The sequence below is a fragment of the Homo sapiens genome, chromosome 3 (genome assembly GCF_000001405.40).
Source record: "Homo sapiens chromosome 3, GRCh38.p14 Primary Assembly".
In the NCBI taxonomy this organism is placed as follows: domain Eukaryota; kingdom Metazoa; phylum Chordata; class Mammalia; order Primates; family Hominidae; genus Homo; species Homo sapiens.
In genome coordinates, this window is record NC_000003.12 from 45,750,461 (window position 1) to 45,769,778 (window position 19,318).

A 19,318-nucleotide genomic window follows, 5' to 3' on the forward strand; every position below is an offset into this window, starting at 1 on the left:
GGAGAACAGAACTTGCACCTTGGAAGCCCATGGTCTCCTTCCCACTGCCATCCCTACCTCTTCCCACAGATGACCACTAGCCTTGCATTTCTTCCTAGTTTAGTACATAGTATGTATCCCTAGATACATAATATCTATATAATGTATATGTAATATCTGTATTGTTTCGTTTTGCTTGTTTTTGAAGTGTCTAGAAATGGCATCATTCCATATGCATGATACAGCTGGCCTTTGAATTCAGCATTGCTCTAAGATTCATCTACACTGACGGTTATAGCTGGAGTCCACCCTGTTGTTGTCTGCCTTGTTTGTTTGTTTGTTTGTTTGTTTGAGACAGGGTTTCTCTCTGTCACCCAGGCTGGAGTGCAGTGGTGCAATAGCTCACTGCAACCTCCGCCTCCCGGATTCAAGCAATTGTGCTGCCTCAGCCTCCCGAGTAGCTGGGATTACAGGCATGCGACACCACGCCCAGCTAATTTTTGTATTTTTAGTAGAGACAGGGTTTCACCATATTGGCCAGGCTGGTCTCAAACTTCTGGCCTCAAGTGGTCCACCCGCCTTGGCCTCCCAAAGTGCTGGCATTACAGGCGTGAGCCACTGCGCCTGGCCAACTGTTGTTTACTTTGAATGAATGTATTACAACATATGTATTCATTTGGATCTATTTATGACGGTCACAAATCATTTTTTGTCTAGTCTAATATTGATGGATATTCTGGTTGTTTTTGGTTGTTTGTTTTTGCACTAAGTACTGCTGTGAGTATTGTATATGTCTCCAGCTCACACAGGAAATTATTTCTCTATGCTCCATGCTCAGTGGTAGAATTATAAGCCTGAAATATATAAGGTAACATGAAATTCTTTTCTAAATTGCTTGTGCCATTTATATTGCTCCCAGTTCCACATTATCACCAATGCTTGGCACTGTCAGACTTCCTAACTTTTAATCCAGTAGGTATAAAAATCGTATCTCATTTTGGCATTTCTCAGATCACTAATGAGATTGAGCATCTTTTCATAGTTTTGACATTCTTTATATTTTAGAGAATAATTATCTGTTAGTTAATATACTACAAATATCTTCTCTCTGTTTTTAGCTTGTCTTTTCATTTTCTTATGATGACTTTTGATGAAAGAAGTGTATAAATGGTGCTGAATTGACCAGTATTTTCCTAGCACATTTTGTGCTTATGTAAGACCATATGATGTCATCTGACAGAGTCCAGTGTTCTTTTTCCTGTAGAGTTAGCCAGTTGCTGAGAATGTTGTTGAATCTTGTCCCTCCTGGCCTGCAGTGCCACCCCTATCGTCTCTCAGGTCCGCTCTACTTGTGGGTGTTGGGGCTTTCTATTCTCATCTATTTGCCGGTATGTTTTCACTGCTGAGAACGCATCTTGTTGGATGGTTCTGTCCCTGCCATGAGCCCTGGGCTCCTCCATCTGTTAGGCAGACAGCTTTGATGCCATGCATTTTCCTGACCTGCAGTGCAGTTTTGGAGTAATGTGGGTTCTCTGTGTTAACACTTGTTTTCTGACGGTGGATCTCTAGTGAGAACTGTATGCAAACACTGAATTACACAGAGTTATCTAACCTGCAGGACTTTGCTCAGAGGTTTGAAAAGTGACTCTCCTAGAGGAGGTATCGGCTGTGCAGCAGCACCCAAACTTTGTAGCCTGTAGAATCTTTTGTTCCTAGAGCATCTCATAGGACCAGCCTTCCATGGGATTCATTTTGTGAAAGGCCAGCATGGACGTGACTACTCTGGCCTTGAAGCTGAGAAACATGGGCTATAATCTATTTGTACCTCACCTGAGTGTTGAATCTGATGGCCCCTCAATTATAAATTTTAAAAATCTCATCCAGGTGGTAATTCCTTAAGAGCCATGCACACACACATGCACATCTGCACACACCTGCTGAGAGATCCGGGTAAGTCTACGAGTGGGGAGTCTTCCCTGGTGTCCAGCGCTCATCCTTTCCTGCCTCTGGCCTCGTTCCTCTGGGCTGGACATCCATGCAGAGGCTCCATGATGTGCTCTCACTGGGGGACCAATTAGTAAGGGGCTGTGACACGTTTAAGTGAATTCCCTGGTCCCAGGTGAAGGAGTTAGATGATCTGTTTGTTCCTAACACTTGCCTTGGTAGATTATTCTGAGCATGAATTTGCTTTTTGTTTTTGTTTAGTCAAAGGTTCAGGTGTTCATCTTTCTCCATTCACCATTTTCAGTGATGCATGCCTATTGCCCTTTATTCTAGTTGTACAAACCTAAAGTACCATCCACTAAAATACTGTGTTAACATTTTATGTCCCAAATCAAGCTCCTATTATAGTTGGGTTCAAATATAGACTAACATTAGGAAAAGTAGAAAGTGTTAAGTGGTAAGTCATGTTTAGCAGAATTTATGATGTTCTCTCTGAGCTTCTGGGACCACACATTCTCCTGGGTTTTGTTTTTGTTTTTTGTTTTTGTTTTTTGTTTTGAGACAGGTTCTTGCTCTGTCACCCAGGCTGGAGCGCAGTGGTGCAACCTCTGCTTCCCAGGCTCAAGTGATCCTCTCACCTCAGCCTCCCGAATAGCTGGGACTCCAGGCATGCATCACCAGGCTTGGCTAATTTTTGTATTTGTTGTAGAGACGAGGTTTTGCCATGTTGCCCAGGCTGGTCCCCAGTTCCTGGCCTCAAGCGATCCGCTGGCTTGGGCCCCCCAGTGTTGGGATGACAGGTGTGAGCCACCACACCTGGCTGCTCCATTCCTTGTTAATCTCTCCTCTCTACTTCACAATGCTGTGAGTCAGGAATTCAGGCAGAGTTTGCCTGGGTGATTCTTCTGTTCCAGATGGCACTGATGGAGGTGACTCAGTGGCATTCATTTGACAGATGGGCTGGTCTGTCTGGCCCAAGCTTGTCTGGTGCCCAGGCATGGCTGGAAGGTGGACTCAGCTGGTCCTGTGAGCTGGAGTACAGCAGCCTCAGGGTGGTGGGGCTTCATTCATGGCAACTTAGGGCTCCCCAGGTGAATGTTCCAACAAACCAGGTTGAAGCTGCATGGCCACATGATCTAGCCTTGAATGTCAAATGGTGTCCCTTCCATCATATTCTTTTGGTTGAAGCAATCACAAGCCCACCTAAATACACAGACCCTATCCCTCCGTGGGAGAGGTGGAAAATCACATGTGGCCATGTCCGAAAACACATTGGAGTTCCTGTAGGCCTTGGTCGCAGGCCCTCTTCTTTGTGTATACTCACCCTGGATGACCTCATTTAGACCTGTGGCTTTAAATAGCATCTCTCCACTGTAACTCCCAAATGTATATCTCTAGCCCAGACGTAACCCAACCTCCAGATTCTTGTGTTCAACAGGTTACTGGATATTTCCACCTAATTCACAGACATCTCAAACTTCACATGGTCAAACCACTCTTGATTTTTACTCTGCAGGCCAGCTCTGTTCCCCACTTTCCTCATCTCCGGAAATGGCACCAGCATCCCCCCAGCAGGTAAAGCTCTTTATCCCCCTTTCCCTCAGCTGGGAATCCAACCCATCAGCAAGACTTGGCAACTTTCCCTCCAAAGTATAACTCAAGCTTGCCTATTTTTCTCCATATCCATTCCCACGTCCATGCTGCCATCATCTTCCATGGCTTTACTACAGTAGATTCTGGAGTGATTTTCCAGCCTCCCTTTATGCCCCGCTCCCATCCATCCTCTATGGCAACAGTGATCTTTCAAACATAAATCAGATCTTGCCAGACCCCACAGTGAACCCTCAGTGGCACTCTCTTTCTCTTCAACGAAAATGAAGCTCCTTGCTGTGGCCTGTGAGGCCTTATGTGATCTGGCCCCTGCTCCCTCCTCCAAGCTCACTTCCCATCGCTCACTTTCCCATTCCAACCACAGGCCTCCTCTCTGCTCTTTCCCTCCTCAGGGCCTTTGCAGTTGCTGTCACCTCTCCTGGACAGGCCTTCTAGGAATTTTAATGACTCGTTCCTTCTTCTTCAAATTTCAGTTCACGAAGTTCCTCAACCGCTTAAAGTACTGTCCTGTTAACGCCACCACATCGGGCCATTTATTTCCTTCTTAGACATGATCACAGTCTGTAATCATATGATTTATTTGTTATGCATCATTGTCTGTCTCCTTTTCCAGAATGTAAGTGCCATAAAGGCCAGCGACTGTGTCTATCCTGTTCACCATTGCCCCCGGCGCATACCAAGGGACTGGTTTGTAATATACTAGTTGGGTAATCTCAAAAAAGGCTGATCCACCCACCCTACAGGAGGGTGAATAATAGAAAAGTGATCCACATGTAAGAGACTGGTCAGGAAATTCAGGTTAAGAATTTGCTATTTGTAGATGCAATTTTTGCCTTGCAAAGGGATGTGTAAATCTGTTATTTTTTTCTTCCCCTGACTGATGTAGGGCAGAAAATCGGCTTAGTTAATTCTCTACCCCAGCTTTTCTACCTATAAGGTGGCATAAGTTAATTTTTCCATGTAAAGTAACTCATACAAAAATCAAATACAATAGTTTACACACTCCCCCCTCTGAGGTGAGGCTCTGAGGTCACATTCAAACCTAATGTGGTTCTGCATGGCCCTGGCCAAAAAGAGACGCTGAGATGGGCAAGACTGCCCGGGACACTCTCAAAAGGAGTGGCAAGATTCTGCAGCAATTCCAAGGGGCTCACATTCTGTTTTAAATCCGGCCAATTAGAAATTTTTTTTCTAACTTTTCTTGTGGACTCTATCTATCTCTCATCTTCCCATGATAGACTTCATCCACTGCATTGGTGCGGTCTCACGGGTTATATGAAGAGGTAAACGCAGAAAAGGGTGACAGAAAAAAAGGTTGGATGGATTTGTCCCCCCCACTTATTTTCCATTTTTTCAAAATTAGCTTGTGTTTCTACATGAGAGAAAATCTTGTGTTGAGAGAAGTCTTAAACTGTATCCAGTAAGTGACAAAAGCAAAACCCAAAACCAAAAACTGTAGATACACTTGCTTAGAGTTTTATTTACTATGACAATTGCTAAAAAACAAATATTTCCCTACTCAATTTCTTGGAGCTAAATCAAGGTTTGCTATGTTTCCAGTAAAAACAGAAAGCTTTCCGGAGTCCATGATCTGGCCATCGTGTCATGGCTACCACTAAGGGTACAGGGATGGAATGTCCCTTTGTCGCTCCAGCTTATTGGAGGGTGGGTGGACAAATGTCGACATGGCCACTTTTGTGCAGTATCTAGGAAATGGCAAAGAACATTTTTTGAGACAGGATTGATTACTGGCTCAAGAGGATTCTTGAGAAATGTTCTGCTCTTCATGAAATTCACAGAAACGAGACATTTTCATCTGGAGCACATTATTCTGTAACAGTGGTGCTTCATCTGTTTGAGTTCCATGAGCAAAAACTATTCCGTAGAAGTAACTCTTCCATATAATTGGAAATGCTCAAAAATGCCTTCAAATTTTTAAGTCATTTTATAAAATGTAAATACTCCTCAATGTACCACCCATGTTCTTTCTTTTTTAAATGGGGCCTCTCAGATTTGGCTGCACATCGGATCACCTAGGGAGTTTTTGGGGCCATGGAGGCCCAGGTCTTGCTTCCAGAAGGTCTGATGGGTGGCCCCAGGGTGTGGTGTGGGCATCTGGAGTTTTAAATGCTCCCAGGTGGTTGGAATGCGCTGCAAGGTGGGGACACTGAATAAGGTAATGATCTAGGACATTTATCTTTTCACTCCTGAGGCTACCTGGTATTCAAGGCTTACGCACCCTGACTGATGACTGATCCCAGGTGGCCCTGAGTTGTAAGACGGTGACTGTGAGTGGGGATTGAGAGGAGGGCCAGATCCTCCAGGATTCAGAGCAGACTCGGTGCTGTGTTTGCCATTGAGTGTGCCGGCTCTTCAAGCCTTGACAGCAGGTTTTTTGACATAAAAGAACCTTCTGATAAGAAGATTGAATCCACGGGGTAGATAAGATTAAATCCATGGGGTACATGCTGGTTCATACATTTGAAAGTCAAATGTATGATAACTGGACAATCAGGTGAAGCTGGAAGATGAGATGGTTGCTGAAGACAGTAGAAGACCTTTCTAAAGCCTATTTTTGCTGTAAGAGAATTTTACAGCACAAAAATAAAAAGACATCTCCGGCCAACGTCCCAGGTGAGTGTTTGTGTCTTCAAAGATATCTGTGCAAATATATCCACAGAAACTCTCCAGAATTCCATGATCTCAAGGAAGCACTGGACGTTAGAGCAGGAAGGGACTCGCTCACTTTAGGGGTAACGACCTACTTTATTGCAGTTAAAAAAAGAAAAATTTTTTTGAGAAAAGAAATAAGACACAGAGACAAAGTATAGAGAAAGAACAGTGGGCCCAGGACCGGCGCTCAGCATGTGGAGGACCCGCACCGGCGCTGGCCTCTGAGTTCCCTCAGTATTTATTGATCATTATTTTTACTGTCTTAGCGAGGGGAGTGTAGCAGGGCAACAGGTGGGAAGAAGGTCAGCAGGGAAACATGTGAGCAAAGGAATCTGTATCACGAATAAGTTCAAGGAAAGGTACTGTGCCCAGATGTGCACGTAGGCTAGATTTATGTTTCTCTTTACCCAAACATCTCAGTGTAGCAAGGAGTAACAGAGCAGTATTGCTGCCAGCATATCTCACCTCCAGCCACAGGGCGGTTTTCTCCTATCTCAGAATAGAACGAATGGGAATGGTCAGCTTTTTACACCGAGACATTCCATTACCAGGGACAAGCAGGAGACAGAAGCCTTCCTCTTATCTCAACTGCAAAGAGGCCTCCCTCCTTCACTATTCCTCCTCAGCACCGACCCTTTACAGGTGTCGGGCTGGGGGACAGTCAGGTCTTTCCCTTCCCATGAGGCCATATCTCAGGCTGTCTCAGTGGGGGGGAAACCTTGGACAATACCCAGGCTTTCTTGGGCAGAGGTCCCTGCAGCTTTCTGCTGTGCATTGTGTCCCTGGTTAATCGAGAATGGAGAATGGCGATGACTTCTACCAAGCATACAGCCTGCAAACATATTGTTAACAAGGCACATCCTGCACAGCCCTAAATCCATTAAACTTTGATTCATTACAGCGCATGTTTCTGTGAGCACAGAGTTGGGGCTAAAGTTATAGGCTAACAACATCTCAAAGCAGAAACAATTTTTCTTAGTACAGATCAAAATGGAGTTTCTTATGTCTTCCTTTTCTACACAGACACAGTAACAATCTGATCTTTCTTTTCCCCACATGGACTAATGCGATATCATAGATATGGTGTGTCTTCAGTTACAAGATGCTCTGTTTGAATTATATACATTTTAGAAAACTATGTACAGATGAATAATTTAAAATTAATTGTAAGTGGTATTTGTGGTCTTGATAGAGTTGGCCACGATGTCCAAATGTAATATTAAGCCTATGGGAAAGTCAGAGCCACTTTTTTTTTTTTTTTTTTTTGAGTCAGAGTCTTGCTCTGTCGCCCAGACTGGAGTGGAGTGGCATGATCTTGGCTCACAGCAACCGCCACCTCCTAGGTTCAAATGATTCTTGTGCCTCAGCAGCCAGAGTAGCTGGAATTACAGGCCTATGCCACCACTCCCAGCTAATTTTTTTGTATTTTTAGTAGAAATGGGGTTTCGCCATGTTGGCCAGGCTGGCCTCAAACTCCTGACCTCAAGTGATCCACCCACCTTGACCCCCAAGGTGCTAGGATTACAGGCGTGAGCCACCGTGCCCAGCTGAGATCCACTTTCATTCTCACCTCACAGTGGCTCCTGACTCCTTTTCCAATGCACCAAGACACACACCACGGAGGGATGTCTGCACAGACTTCTAATGTGGTTTGGGGTTGCAAACTGTAGTTGGGGCAATTTTTTGTAGAGAGGTCTGGTCCTGGACCCACCGTCAGAGACCTTAGAGAAAGGATCCCTTTGGGGGTCCCAGACAAAGATCTTCTTTCTTTATAACTTGTCATCCTAAGATTTAAAGGGTGGAAGGGGAACACAGAAATTGCATATTCACTACAACTCAAAAAAGAAGAGAATTAATTTTGCACCACTGACAAATAGGTCATCTTAGGCACTTCAAAACTCCTTAAATGGATCTAAAAATATTTGTCCTCTAATATTTTGGTGTCTCTTCAGCCAAAAACAAAAATTGCTTAAATTTGGTCCCATAAGAATTATAGTCATATTTCAGTTTGCAATGTGCCCTAATTCTAGGGCTTTCCTGGAATGAAGGATGCAGTTATCTTTGAGACCGGCTTTCATAGCCCACCCCCTTCCATGATGAGGAGGCAGGTGACAGGGAGGAACAGCCACCACGGGAGGGTGTGCGTTCTCCCAAGGGAGTTTTCTTCCTGCACACCTTCCTCATCTTCTTTAGACACTCAGGAAGTTGATGGGCTGAGCACTCCTGGCTTAAGCATTTGAAAAAGCAGCCGAGGAGTTTCCGCCTGTAAATAGTATCTGTAAAACCGTGAGCGGCTGGGAAGCCCACATCTCAGGCCACGGGGTCTGCGTCTCCCCTCTTGAGGCGACGCTGAACAAAAGTCCCCAGGGCCGCCAGGGGGATGCACATGGTGGAGGAGGCCACAAGCAGCCCGATGACAGCCAGTGCATAGGCCGGGTAATCTTTGGTCACGAGCTGGCCCTGAAAGGAGAGACTGAGTGTCAGCAGAGAGCACCTGCTGAGCACTGCCCCTGGGCCTCAGGGCCCATCCGTGATGGGGAGGTGATGTGACGTGGGCAGAGAGCATGTGGGGCCGGTGTCCTCACTCCTGGGGCCACGGGCTCTGCAATTCACTAGCAAATGTGCCAGGAGCCTAACTGCCCTCACCTTCTTTTTCTTCCATAAACTAGGAATAATAGTAACTACTTGAACCAGTGGGTGTAGAGCTATTGTTTGGAGCTACCCATAATGAATAACCATGGTAATAATCAAGCACCTTATGTCTAAGGCAACTTTCAGGGAACCTAAACTGTAGGCGACTACTCTTAGCCTGGAATGGGACTTTCCCGTGAAGGTAGCAACGTTCTCTGTCAGTGCTGTCTGCTGCGGTAGGCGCGGAGGAGAGCGCTGCTCAGGAGGCAGGAGCTGGCGCCTTTGCAGCGGGAGTTTTTCTCAGCTTCCGGGGGACAGGTGGATGGGGAAGCTCTGGAGGAGTGCCTTCCTCTCGCCCCACTGAAGCACATACCTAAAAGCTCAAAGCCCAGCTCCTCCGTGCTGGACTATTTCTAAAATACCTCAGTGATATTTCCATGTCGTGACAAATAACCTACCCACACCATGGAAATAGTCCCCTGGTTTCGGAAAATGAATGGCCCATGCTTTTCAGTGGCCATGGGGGCCCAGCGCCAGCCCTACGGAGACAGTAGATACCTGGGAGGCGTCCCAGGCTTGATACTTCAGGGTCCCCGTGAGGATGTAGTCGCTCAGGTAGAAGACAAAGAGGCTGACAATCAGCAGTGGGCTTACGCCAGCCCACATCACCTTCCAGTACCAGCTCACAGCTCGGCCGGTCATGGCCTTAAGGTCACTTTCAAATCTATTTGGAAAACAGGGAGAGAAAGTCTGGATTAACCAGGCTGCGGAGGTCAGGGCGTCCAGCTTGCCTGTCCCTATTCACAAAGGAACATTCTGTTCTAGGTGGTAAAGGATGTCTGAGCTTGGCCACTGGGCTCCTCTGTGACACCTTCTTGAGAGACGAGTGCTGCGGTGGGGAGGGGAGAAGGGCTGAGGCTGCCCAGAAGGGATGACGGAGCAAGCAACCCGCAGAGAGTGGACATCAGAAGACGCCTTCCTAATGCCAGCCTTCAGATGAAGGCTGCTGGCATAGCCCAGAGGGCAGCCTCCAGGAATGGTGGGCACAGGCAGCAGGGGATGGACATTTGTCAGGCTGGTCATCAATGACAGGGACTTCTTGGGCGGCTTTGCCCACCCCCCTACCCAGCCCGCCCCTGTCAATCAGTGACTCCCTTTCCCAGTAGAAACACCACGGAGCAGAATCACTTGGTCCATTGAAACCAGAGCAGGTTTTCTGGGACAGAGGAAGAGCCAACCTCGGACTGAAGGACCGTAGCCCTGGCCTGCTGGAGCTGGTCTAGAGTGGCCAGGGCAGTGAGTCCCAAAGGCGTTGCCCACAGCCACCATCACCACCTCCATCATGCCTGTAGCTCTCTTTTCCCTCTTCTTTACTTTTAAACCTACGGTTAGCAGCAGCACAACAGCAGCCAGTTTCTCATCGACTTGACAAACTAAGTACGTGTGTTTTTGAATACACGTACACAGTATAAAAAGTATCTTTGGCATTTTGGGAGATGTTGGCCCAACGAAACTCCCCATTTCACACAGGAGGAACCAAGGCCCAGGGCTGCGATGCCTTCTTCCTTAGGGCTTGGTAAAGACCAGGCCCAGAACCTGGGTTGGCCTCCTGCCTCCAGCCCAGAGCCTTTAAACCTGCTCCCTACAGCGGAAGAGGCAGCCTTGGCGGGAGGGGCTGGGGTGGTGTGGGTGTGACGTCACCAGCTGCAGCCACAGCCCCTCCCTCCCTGGGACCTGCTGCATGTCCTGGGTGTCCATGCGAGGCTGTGTGGCGACCACCACCTGCCCTTTGCTGCTGCTGACGTAGTTGGACTCTAGGCTGCAGGCCATGAAGGCTCATGTATGTGACACGAAAACCTGGGGCTTTCAAAATCAGACAGGTGAAAAAGTGTTGGGGGTCCTCTTGTCCCTTCACACCCCCATAACCCCCCCCCCTTTCCTGGATGGAGAAAGTTGGGAAGAGCTGGCTGCAGAAAAGCCCCAGGACACTGTTGCTGGGTGGTCACTAGATGGCGGTGTCACCTGAGCAAGCCGAAGCACTCCCCTCCTGCCACTTACATGGTCAGTCCACCTACGACATCTCCAAGGCACGTTTGTTTCTGCCTCTGTCTCCCTTCACCAGCCCCTTTTTGATGGACTTGTGCCCCTCACCCATCTAGTGACCTCCAGCGGGCCCTAGGTTCTGTTCCTCTCTCCCAACCTTCTCTTTTTATCCTGAAACACTCACCCTCTCAGTGACCAATCTCTTTCTCCCTCTAGACTGGCATTTCCTAGGTGACCAGGGATTTTCCCAATTTTAGTACTGAAAGTTCCACGTCCCAGAAAACCCCTCAATCCTGGGGAAACAGGGAGAGTTGGTCCCCTTAACACTAGTGTCCTCAAAATGTTAGTAGCTAAGGGTGGGAGTCGGGTGAGAGGAGGGTGAAAAGGCATTCCTTGACCAAGTAAGTCTGGAAATGCTGCAATTCTAACCCTCTCTTTGGGATCCACAACTGTCTTTAAGATTCTGAGAAGTCCTACGGGAAAGACATCAATTTGGCTTTGTTTAACTTATGTCCTGATGGATCATGGGAGATCCCTCAGCATGGCACGGGACCCTGGCCTTTCCGGGGACACAGCAGGGATTGCTGCTTCAGGGATGCCTGCCTCCCAGAGTGTTGTCAATGTCTCCCTCCCCACCCTGAACCAGCACAGAGGATCAAAAAGACTGGGGAAGAGGGCAGAAAACAACGTGGCACAGCCTCCTCGCCCAAACCGCACCCACTAGAGCAGCGCTGCCCAAACTGTGATGTGCCTCAGGCCCCCTGGACATAGTGTGAAGATACAGGATCTGATTCAGCAGGATGGGGTGGGCCCGAGCTTCTGCAGTCCCAACGAGCGCCTTGTTGCTGCTGCTCCCGCTCTAGGGACCACACTTGAGGTAGCAAAGCTCTCTAGGCCAGTGGTTCTCAAAGTGTGGGTGCCAGACTCATCTGGGAACCTGCTAGAAATGTGAATTCTTGGCCCTCCCCTGGCCTGCCTGATCAGAACCCTGGGGGTGAGTCTCACAGCTGTGTTTGACCAGCCCAAGGGACTCTGAGGCACACTCGAGTTTGAAGGTTGCTCTAGACCAGTGGCTCTTGCCCCAGCTGCACATTCCATCACCTGGGGAGAACTAAAACATTCCAGTCCCGTGCTGTGCACTGGGATTGAGAACCTCACTGACTAAATTTTGAATCTGCCAAATTTTCTAAGGTCTAAGTTATCAACTGGACTTTGGTCAGGGTTCTTGGAAAATACTGATGTTGGCCGATGATCAGAGCATCCAGTGCCTGGAGGCACAATTCCCTGCCCCAGTAAGCTGTGGGGGTCCAGCAGGGTCAACCCTAAAACAGCCTATGATACAAAGCAAAAGTACAGGGAATAGAGAAAAAGATATTCACTGAAGCAAACTGAGCATGGAATAGAGGCAGAGCATAAGCTGAGATCTGCGGGCAAAGAACAAACGTTGAGTCATGATGCGAAGCTTAAAGAAGAGGTGAAGATGTGCATCAAGAAACAGCTGTTTTCCTTGAGGGGCGTGGCCTCTGTGGCTGTGTTTTCCCTATGCAAATGAGGGTCCTGGGCCTCCTCACCTCCTCAGCCCGTACACGTAGCACACGGCAATCGTCTCCACCAGCACGATGAGCAGCAGGGACAGTGTGGCCGCGTAGTCGTTGAATATGTCAAACCAGTAGTTCCCAGCCTCCATCGTGAACACCATGCCAATGGCACAGTTGACAAGGCACACCAGACCTGGGGGCCACAAGACCAGCTGCTCACCTGCCCGAGACCCCCCCACTACTGCTTACCAGTTCTCTACAGGACAGTGGGGTCGTCGGCCCTCAGGGAATTTTGGCTGATTGCTTCATCCACATGGGTTGAAAGAGCTGTCATGGTTTGGACTCTCTGAAGGTGTGTGCCACGTGTGTGGGGCAGGGGGCACAATGGTGTCCCGAAGCGTGTTGGCAGGGGTCACTGATGTTGACTCACTGAGCTGCCCTGCAGGGGTGGCAGAGCTTAAAGCTCAATGAACAAGCAGACGTAGTGGGCACTGTCATTCCAGGATCCCGCCCAGGCTGTGGGTCTACAATTATAACCCCCGCTGTTTATCCCAACAACTCAGCCCTGGAGCTCATGAGAAATGAATCAGGGGAGGAGGCTTGAATATGGAGTGGCCCCATCAGGACTTCCTAGAGAGGACTTGCCTCCACCCAGAAGAGGGTGGGGCAGGGAAGAGACAAATGTCCACCCAGATCCTCCCTTGTGCCAGGCACTTGCAATGCGTTGGACCCTTAGGCCTCTGAGGCAGGTGTCCGGAGCCCCCTTTCACAGATGGGAAGGCAAGGCTCAGAGATGTCTAAGGCTCCCCCGACATCCCATAGCACATCCATGGCAGAGTGAGGATTCAGACCCAGGCCCTTTAGCCTCCAGAACCTGGGCCTTCATCCCAGGCCCCTCCAGCTGCCTTCCCTGGGGACCCCATGCATGTCTGAGTCTAGAGCCCACACCTGCCCTTTCCACTAGCACACCGTACACTGCCAGCTACCGAGCCCTCCTGCTATCCCGACGGGGACACACAAGGAGAAAGGGGCCATGCGCTGGCTGAAGGCTATGGGCACACCTAGTGTTGGCTACAAAGACCAGGCCTGAGGAGGGGGTCTAAGTGCTGCAGCACTCTGAAGAGGTGGGGGCAACTCCAACTGGAGTGGTCGGGGCTTGAAGGAGATGGCCTGGGAGCTGGGTTTGATTCATCCTGCATGTCAAGGAATGGTGTTTTCAGAGACGGAGTAGTGTAGGCCACAGGGTCCTTGAGGCACTGCCTGATTGGAGTGGAGCAGATGGGCCAGGGAGTGAAACCATGAGAGATGTAATTGGAAAAGCCAGCTCATTTCCTAAGATCTGAAATGTCCATCAACAGCAGAATGGATAAAGAAACTGTGGTATGTCACCTTACAATGGATTATTGTATAGGCACAAAAAGGGGCAGACGATCGCTGCTCGAAACAACATGAGTGGATCTCACAGGTAGATTCTGAGTGAAGACAATAGACGTAGAGTGTGTACAATAGGACTTCGTTCATATGAAATTCAGGAACAGGAAGGCCAGGCGCAATGACTCATGCCTGTAATCCCAGTATTTTGGGAGGCCAAGGCAGGCAGATCACTTGAGGTCAGGAGTTTGAGACCAGCCTGGCCAACACGGGGAAACCCCATCTTTACTAAAATACAAAAATTAGCCAGGCATCATGGTGTGCACCTATAATCCCAGCTACTCAGGAGGATGAGGCACGAGAATAGCTTGAGCCTGGGAGGTGGAGGTTGCAGTGAGCCAAGATCGCACCATTGCACTCCAGCCTGGGTGACAGAGTGAGACTGTTTCTTTAAAAACAAAAAAAAAAAAAAAAGGAAAAAAACCCCTAAAATGTAGAAGTCAGAAATAGAGGTGAACTCCAGGGGTGCATACTGCCTGGGAAGGGGTGTGAAGGAACTGTCTAGGGTGTGGAAAATGTTCTGTATCTTGACCTAGGTGGTGGTTCCTTGGGTGGATACATATGTAAAATCCACTGAGTTTGTACTTAAGAAATGTACACTTTATAATGGTCATACTTCAGGCCAGGTGTGGTGGCTCACACCTGTAATCCCAGCACTTTCGGAGGCTGAGATGGGCGAATCACCTGGGGTCAGGAGTTCGAGACCAGCCTGGCCAACATGGTGAAACCCCTTCTCTACTAAAAATACAAAAATTAGCCAGGTGTCATGGCGTGCACCTGTAATCCCAGCTACTCGGGAGGGTGAGGCAGGAGAATCACTTGAACCTGGGAGATGGAGGTTGCAGTGAGCCAAGATCACGCCACTGAACTCCAGCCTGGGCAACAGAGCGAGACTCCGTCTGAAATATATATAATATACTTCAATGAAAATGAACAGAAACAAAATCGAGTTCTCTCCTAGCCTGGAGAACTTTGAATGTCAGGTTGGGGAGTTGGGTTGGGGTGGCCACTTCACTTCCCTGTGATGTGGAGAATGGAACGCACAGGGTGAATCACATGGCCCAGGTCCCAGGTTGTGAGAAGACATGGCAGGACCGTGGTGAGGTGGCTGCAACCCCCTGTAGCCACCTGAACCAGCCCATGACCCCTGAGGGAGCTCTCCCCTGTTCACCCCCACGCCTTGGCCCTCCTGACCCCTGCCTCCTCCACTGGCTGGCCCCGCTGACCTGAGATGGCCTCCTTGGGCAGGTGGCTGGAGATGATCTTGCTGTCTGTCAGAGGGGTGAGGATGGCCGCTGTGTTCCCCAGCATGCTCCCAATGCCCAGCATCAGCAGCATGAAGAAGTAGAGCACCGACCACAGCTGGGACACCTCCATGTTTTTAATGGCCTCTGTGTAGACGATGAATGCCAGGCCAGTGCCCTGGACGGCCTGCCCAGGGTGAGAAGACACCAGTTACATGCAAGAGGGACTTATAGTCTTATTCACGCACTCAGTACTAAGCAACATGGGGGACCTTGGAAGTGGCCATGAGAAGCCACATTGTGAGGTTGGAGCTTCCATCTGCAGATCAACCCCTTACACTCAGCTGGGCTGAAACGAAATGGGAGCTGCCAGGAGCTCATATATGCAAAGCACGTGAGAACTTGTAGCCAGCCTGCAACACTGAGTTCCCCTCTCCTGCCCCAACTTACGTACATTCTGGATGAAAGATAATAAAACAATGGATAATTTCTGCTTCTAATGTGATGACCGACTAGGTGTCCTGAAACCTCCGTGGCTGGGACCTGAGGAGGGAGGGCGGGGCCAGGGCAGCAGGAAGCAGAATTGTAGGGAGACAGCTTGGTCAGCAGGCAACCAGGAGGGGCAGGTGCTCAGCGGTCACGTCCCTGTGCTGGTAACTCTGTTGCGGAAATGTTAAACTATGGAAATTGAGGCTGGAACTCCTGCTTAAAGACAAATCCCCTAAGGGGCTCAAAAGGGATAATAGGTTGTGCGTACTCTCTGGCTACCCACAGAAGAAGCAAAAACAAGCCCTCCCTGGGTAGAAGCCCCCCCACCCGGTTTAGATGCACAGGATTCCCAGAGATTGAGCAAAGTGCTCATAAACAGGGATTTACAAACCCACAAGGAGAGAAGTCACTATGAGTGAAGAACTAGCAAGATAAGAAATCAGATTTAGAACATCCCTCCCCGAGGTGGCAGATGTTGGACTGTCAGATTCAGAATTGCTATGGACTGAACCATGTCCACCTGAAATTTGTATGTTGAAACCCTAGCTCCCAATGTGACTGTATCTGGAGATAGGGTCTTTAGGGGGTAATTAAGGTTAAATTGAGTTATAATATTGGAGCCCTAATCTGACCAGACTGTAGCCTTATAACAAGAGGAAGAGAGAGAGAGAGAACTCTCTATTATGTGAGGACACAGTGAGAAGATAGGTGTTCACGAACCAGGAAATAGGTCTTCATCAGAAACCAAACCCTGCTGGCCCTTGATCTTGGACTTCTCAGCCTCTAGGATTGAGAGACAAATTCCTGTTTTTTGCTGGGCACAGCGGCTCATGCCTGTAATCCCAGCACTTTGGGAGGCTTAGGTGGGAGGATCACTTGAGCTCAGGAGTTTGAGATCAGCCTGCGCAACATAGCAAGACCTTGTCTCTACTAAAAGTAAATAAAAGAAAATAAATTTACGTTGTTTAAGCCACCCAGCCTATATTTTGTTATGGCAGGCTGCACTGACTAATATAAGAACACAGGTCAATTCTATAGTATACCAGTTGCTCAGGGGCATACTGAAAATAGTTGGCTTTATGTGCTGACAACAAGGGAGTGATCACTTGTAGAGAACTTAAAAACAATAGTAAAAATCTACAAAAAGTTGATATACTTTTTATGATTATCATGAGCCAGCAATTCTAAATAGTGTTAAAATACTGCTCTCCTTCTCTTGCCTATGGCCACCACTGAAACAGTTACGTATGAAATGTTTAAAGAAACAAAGGATAACATTACAAAAATAAACATGTATCAATAAACTATTGGGATGGACAAGTAAATCTGAAAAAAATAGCATCTATATAAAAAATATAGTTATTGAATTAAAAGGCTCAATTGACAGTTAAATACCAGATTAGATGCAGCTGAAAAGAGAGTTAGTGAACTGAAAGATATATCCAGAAATGAATCAATAAAATAAAAAAGGATAAAAAGATGGGAAAAATAAAAGAGAGGTTAAGAGACCTGTAGGACAGGATGAAAAAGTCACATCTAATGAAGTTCCAAAAGGAGAAAAATGAGAGAATCAGAGACAACGATTATGAGATAATAGGTATGAATTTTCCAAAACTGATAAGAAACATTGGACCCTTAGATCCAGGAAGCCCAACCTCACCCAGGCCTAGAGTGGATAAATAAAAATATATTCATGCCATGTCTAGATTGCAGAGGCCAAAGACGAAGAGAAGATCATGAGAAAGAGAAAAAGCTGCTTGCTTACAAAGAATAAAAGAAAATATCAAGAGCAACAATGGAAGCCTGAATCACATGGCAAACATCTTCAAAGTGTTGAGAGAAAATAATTGTTAACCTGGAATTTTCTACTCCGAGGAACAATGTCTTTAAAAGATAGATGCCAATTATAGAACAAAATTTAAGAAAACTGTTCTAAATGAAAGTATTTTAAGGAAAAACCTTTGGAGATGCTGGGATGCAAGAAAGAATGGTGAACAAATAAAATGGCAAACATGTAGGTAAATACAAGAGCTGTATAAAATAACCATAATGTCATGTCCAATGTATGGGGTTAAGGAGACAGAACTAGAAAACAATCATTTAAAATGGGAGATAAAATGAAAGTACTCTAAAGTCCTTTTGAATTTTGGGAAGGAGGTCAAGATACTGTTTAACTTTAGACTTTATTAAGTTAAATATGAAAGGAAAATTTCAAGAAGAGAAATCAAGCAACCAAATTCCAAACAGCAGGGAATAAAGTGGAATGGGGAAAGAAAAGAAAGAAAAAAAAAAGAACAAAGCAACAGGAAAAATGAAGTCTAGATAAATCAATAACCAACCATGTAATTCTTGGCTGTAGAGCCAAGCTCAAAAGTAAGTGAGGAAAACTCCCAGGTGCCATCCATAAAGGAAAGTTGAAGTGAGAGCACTGAACAAGTGCTGAAGCCAAAGGACCTCATGGGTCACCTGAACAGGACCTAGGCCTTGAGGGCTGGGGTTTGTGGGCTGGGGTCTGATGCCTGCCTGGGGAAGCAGGCTCATGCCACAGGCCAATAACAGGCATGGAGCTAGGGCTGAACAACCAGGAGAAAAAAGCATTGTCCCACCCATGAAATGACCTACAGTGGTTGTACCCATGAAACAAAGTGCCAAACAAACCAAACCCAACCAACCAACCACCCCAAAAATATCAACCTCCAAAGTAGCTTACTAGCAACCAGAGCCACAGGCCCTCCCTACTCCCTATCCTTGAAAAACATTACCTAGGAACACTCTCTAGGAATAATCTCTAGAAGTATTTGCATTAAATATAAGAATTAGGCAAATATGCCCACTATCACTTCTACTCCCATGTGCTAGAAGTCCTAGTGAATACAATAAGAAAAAGGGAATGAGATATAAGCATTGAAAAGAAAAATGCAAAATTTGATCTGCAGGAGATATGATAGTTTACATAGAAAACTGAAGCAAATCTATACATAAATATGAGAATTAATAAGAGAATTCATCAAGATTGCTAGATACAAGGTCAACATATAAAATATTTAGCTTTCTTTTGCAACAAAAACAAATGATAGAAATGAGGGGAAAAAACACCATTCACAATACAATAAAACAGTAAGGTAATAGAAATCTAATGAAAGATGTGCCAAGACATTCATAGAGAAAGTTAGCTGAAGAATGTTTTAAAAGACTTGACTGAACAAGAGAAAGTATGTTCCTGAGTCAAATATCACAATTCAAAAGATATTAATTCTCCCCAAATTACACTATAAAATCAATGCAAGTCTAGTAAAAATTCCCTAGATTTTTTTTTTCCAATGAAACTTATCAAACTGATCCTCAAAACAATGTGAAAAAATAAAGGTCCCAGCACAGCAGAGATAATTCTGTAAAATATAAATAAAGGTGACTTTCAGTAGCAAAAATTAAAAAAAAAACCCTCCAAATGTCTATTAGTAAGGGAATGGATAAATAAATTGCAGTATTGTTGTGTGATGGAATAAAATGCAGCATTTAAATGAACAAATGAGGTTCCACATGTATTATTATGGACAGATCTCAAAATTAAAATGCTGAATGAGAGAAGTATCTTTCCAGACCATTTATGCCCATTTAAAAACTGCTGACATAGGAGTGCAAAAGGCTTGTTGAAAAAAGAAAAAATAAAACAAAAACTGCCAACAAAACAATGATATTATTTAAGAATACATAGATGGGTAATAGAAATATAAA

The 19,318-nt window shown here is 46.6% G+C and overlaps 1 protein-coding gene across 9 annotated transcripts in view; it reads right to left on the reverse strand.

Moving 5' to 3' along the window:
- SLC6A20 (solute carrier family 6 member 20) overlaps positions 4,989-19,318 on the reverse strand; it is a 41,088-nt gene continuing 26,758 nt past the window's right edge. For 6 of the 9 annotated variants that reach the window (NR_176011.1, NM_001406067.1, NM_022405.4 and 3 more), the window contains 4 exons: positions 15,077-15,281; positions 12,453-12,612; positions 9,397-9,562; positions 4,989-8,667 (listed from right to left, as the gene is read on the reverse strand). Coding sequence is in view for 7 of the 9 variants with exons in the window: in NM_001406067.1 (NP_001392996.1) it covers positions 8,518-8,667; positions 9,397-9,562; positions 12,453-12,612; positions 15,077-15,281 (681 nt within the window). In the remaining 2 variants the exon portion in view is untranslated. The remainder of the gene's footprint in view (positions 8,668-9,396; positions 9,563-12,452; positions 12,613-15,076; positions 15,282-19,318) is intronic. The other 3 variants (NM_001406069.1, NM_001406066.1, NR_176012.1) reach the window with 2 other exon arrangements.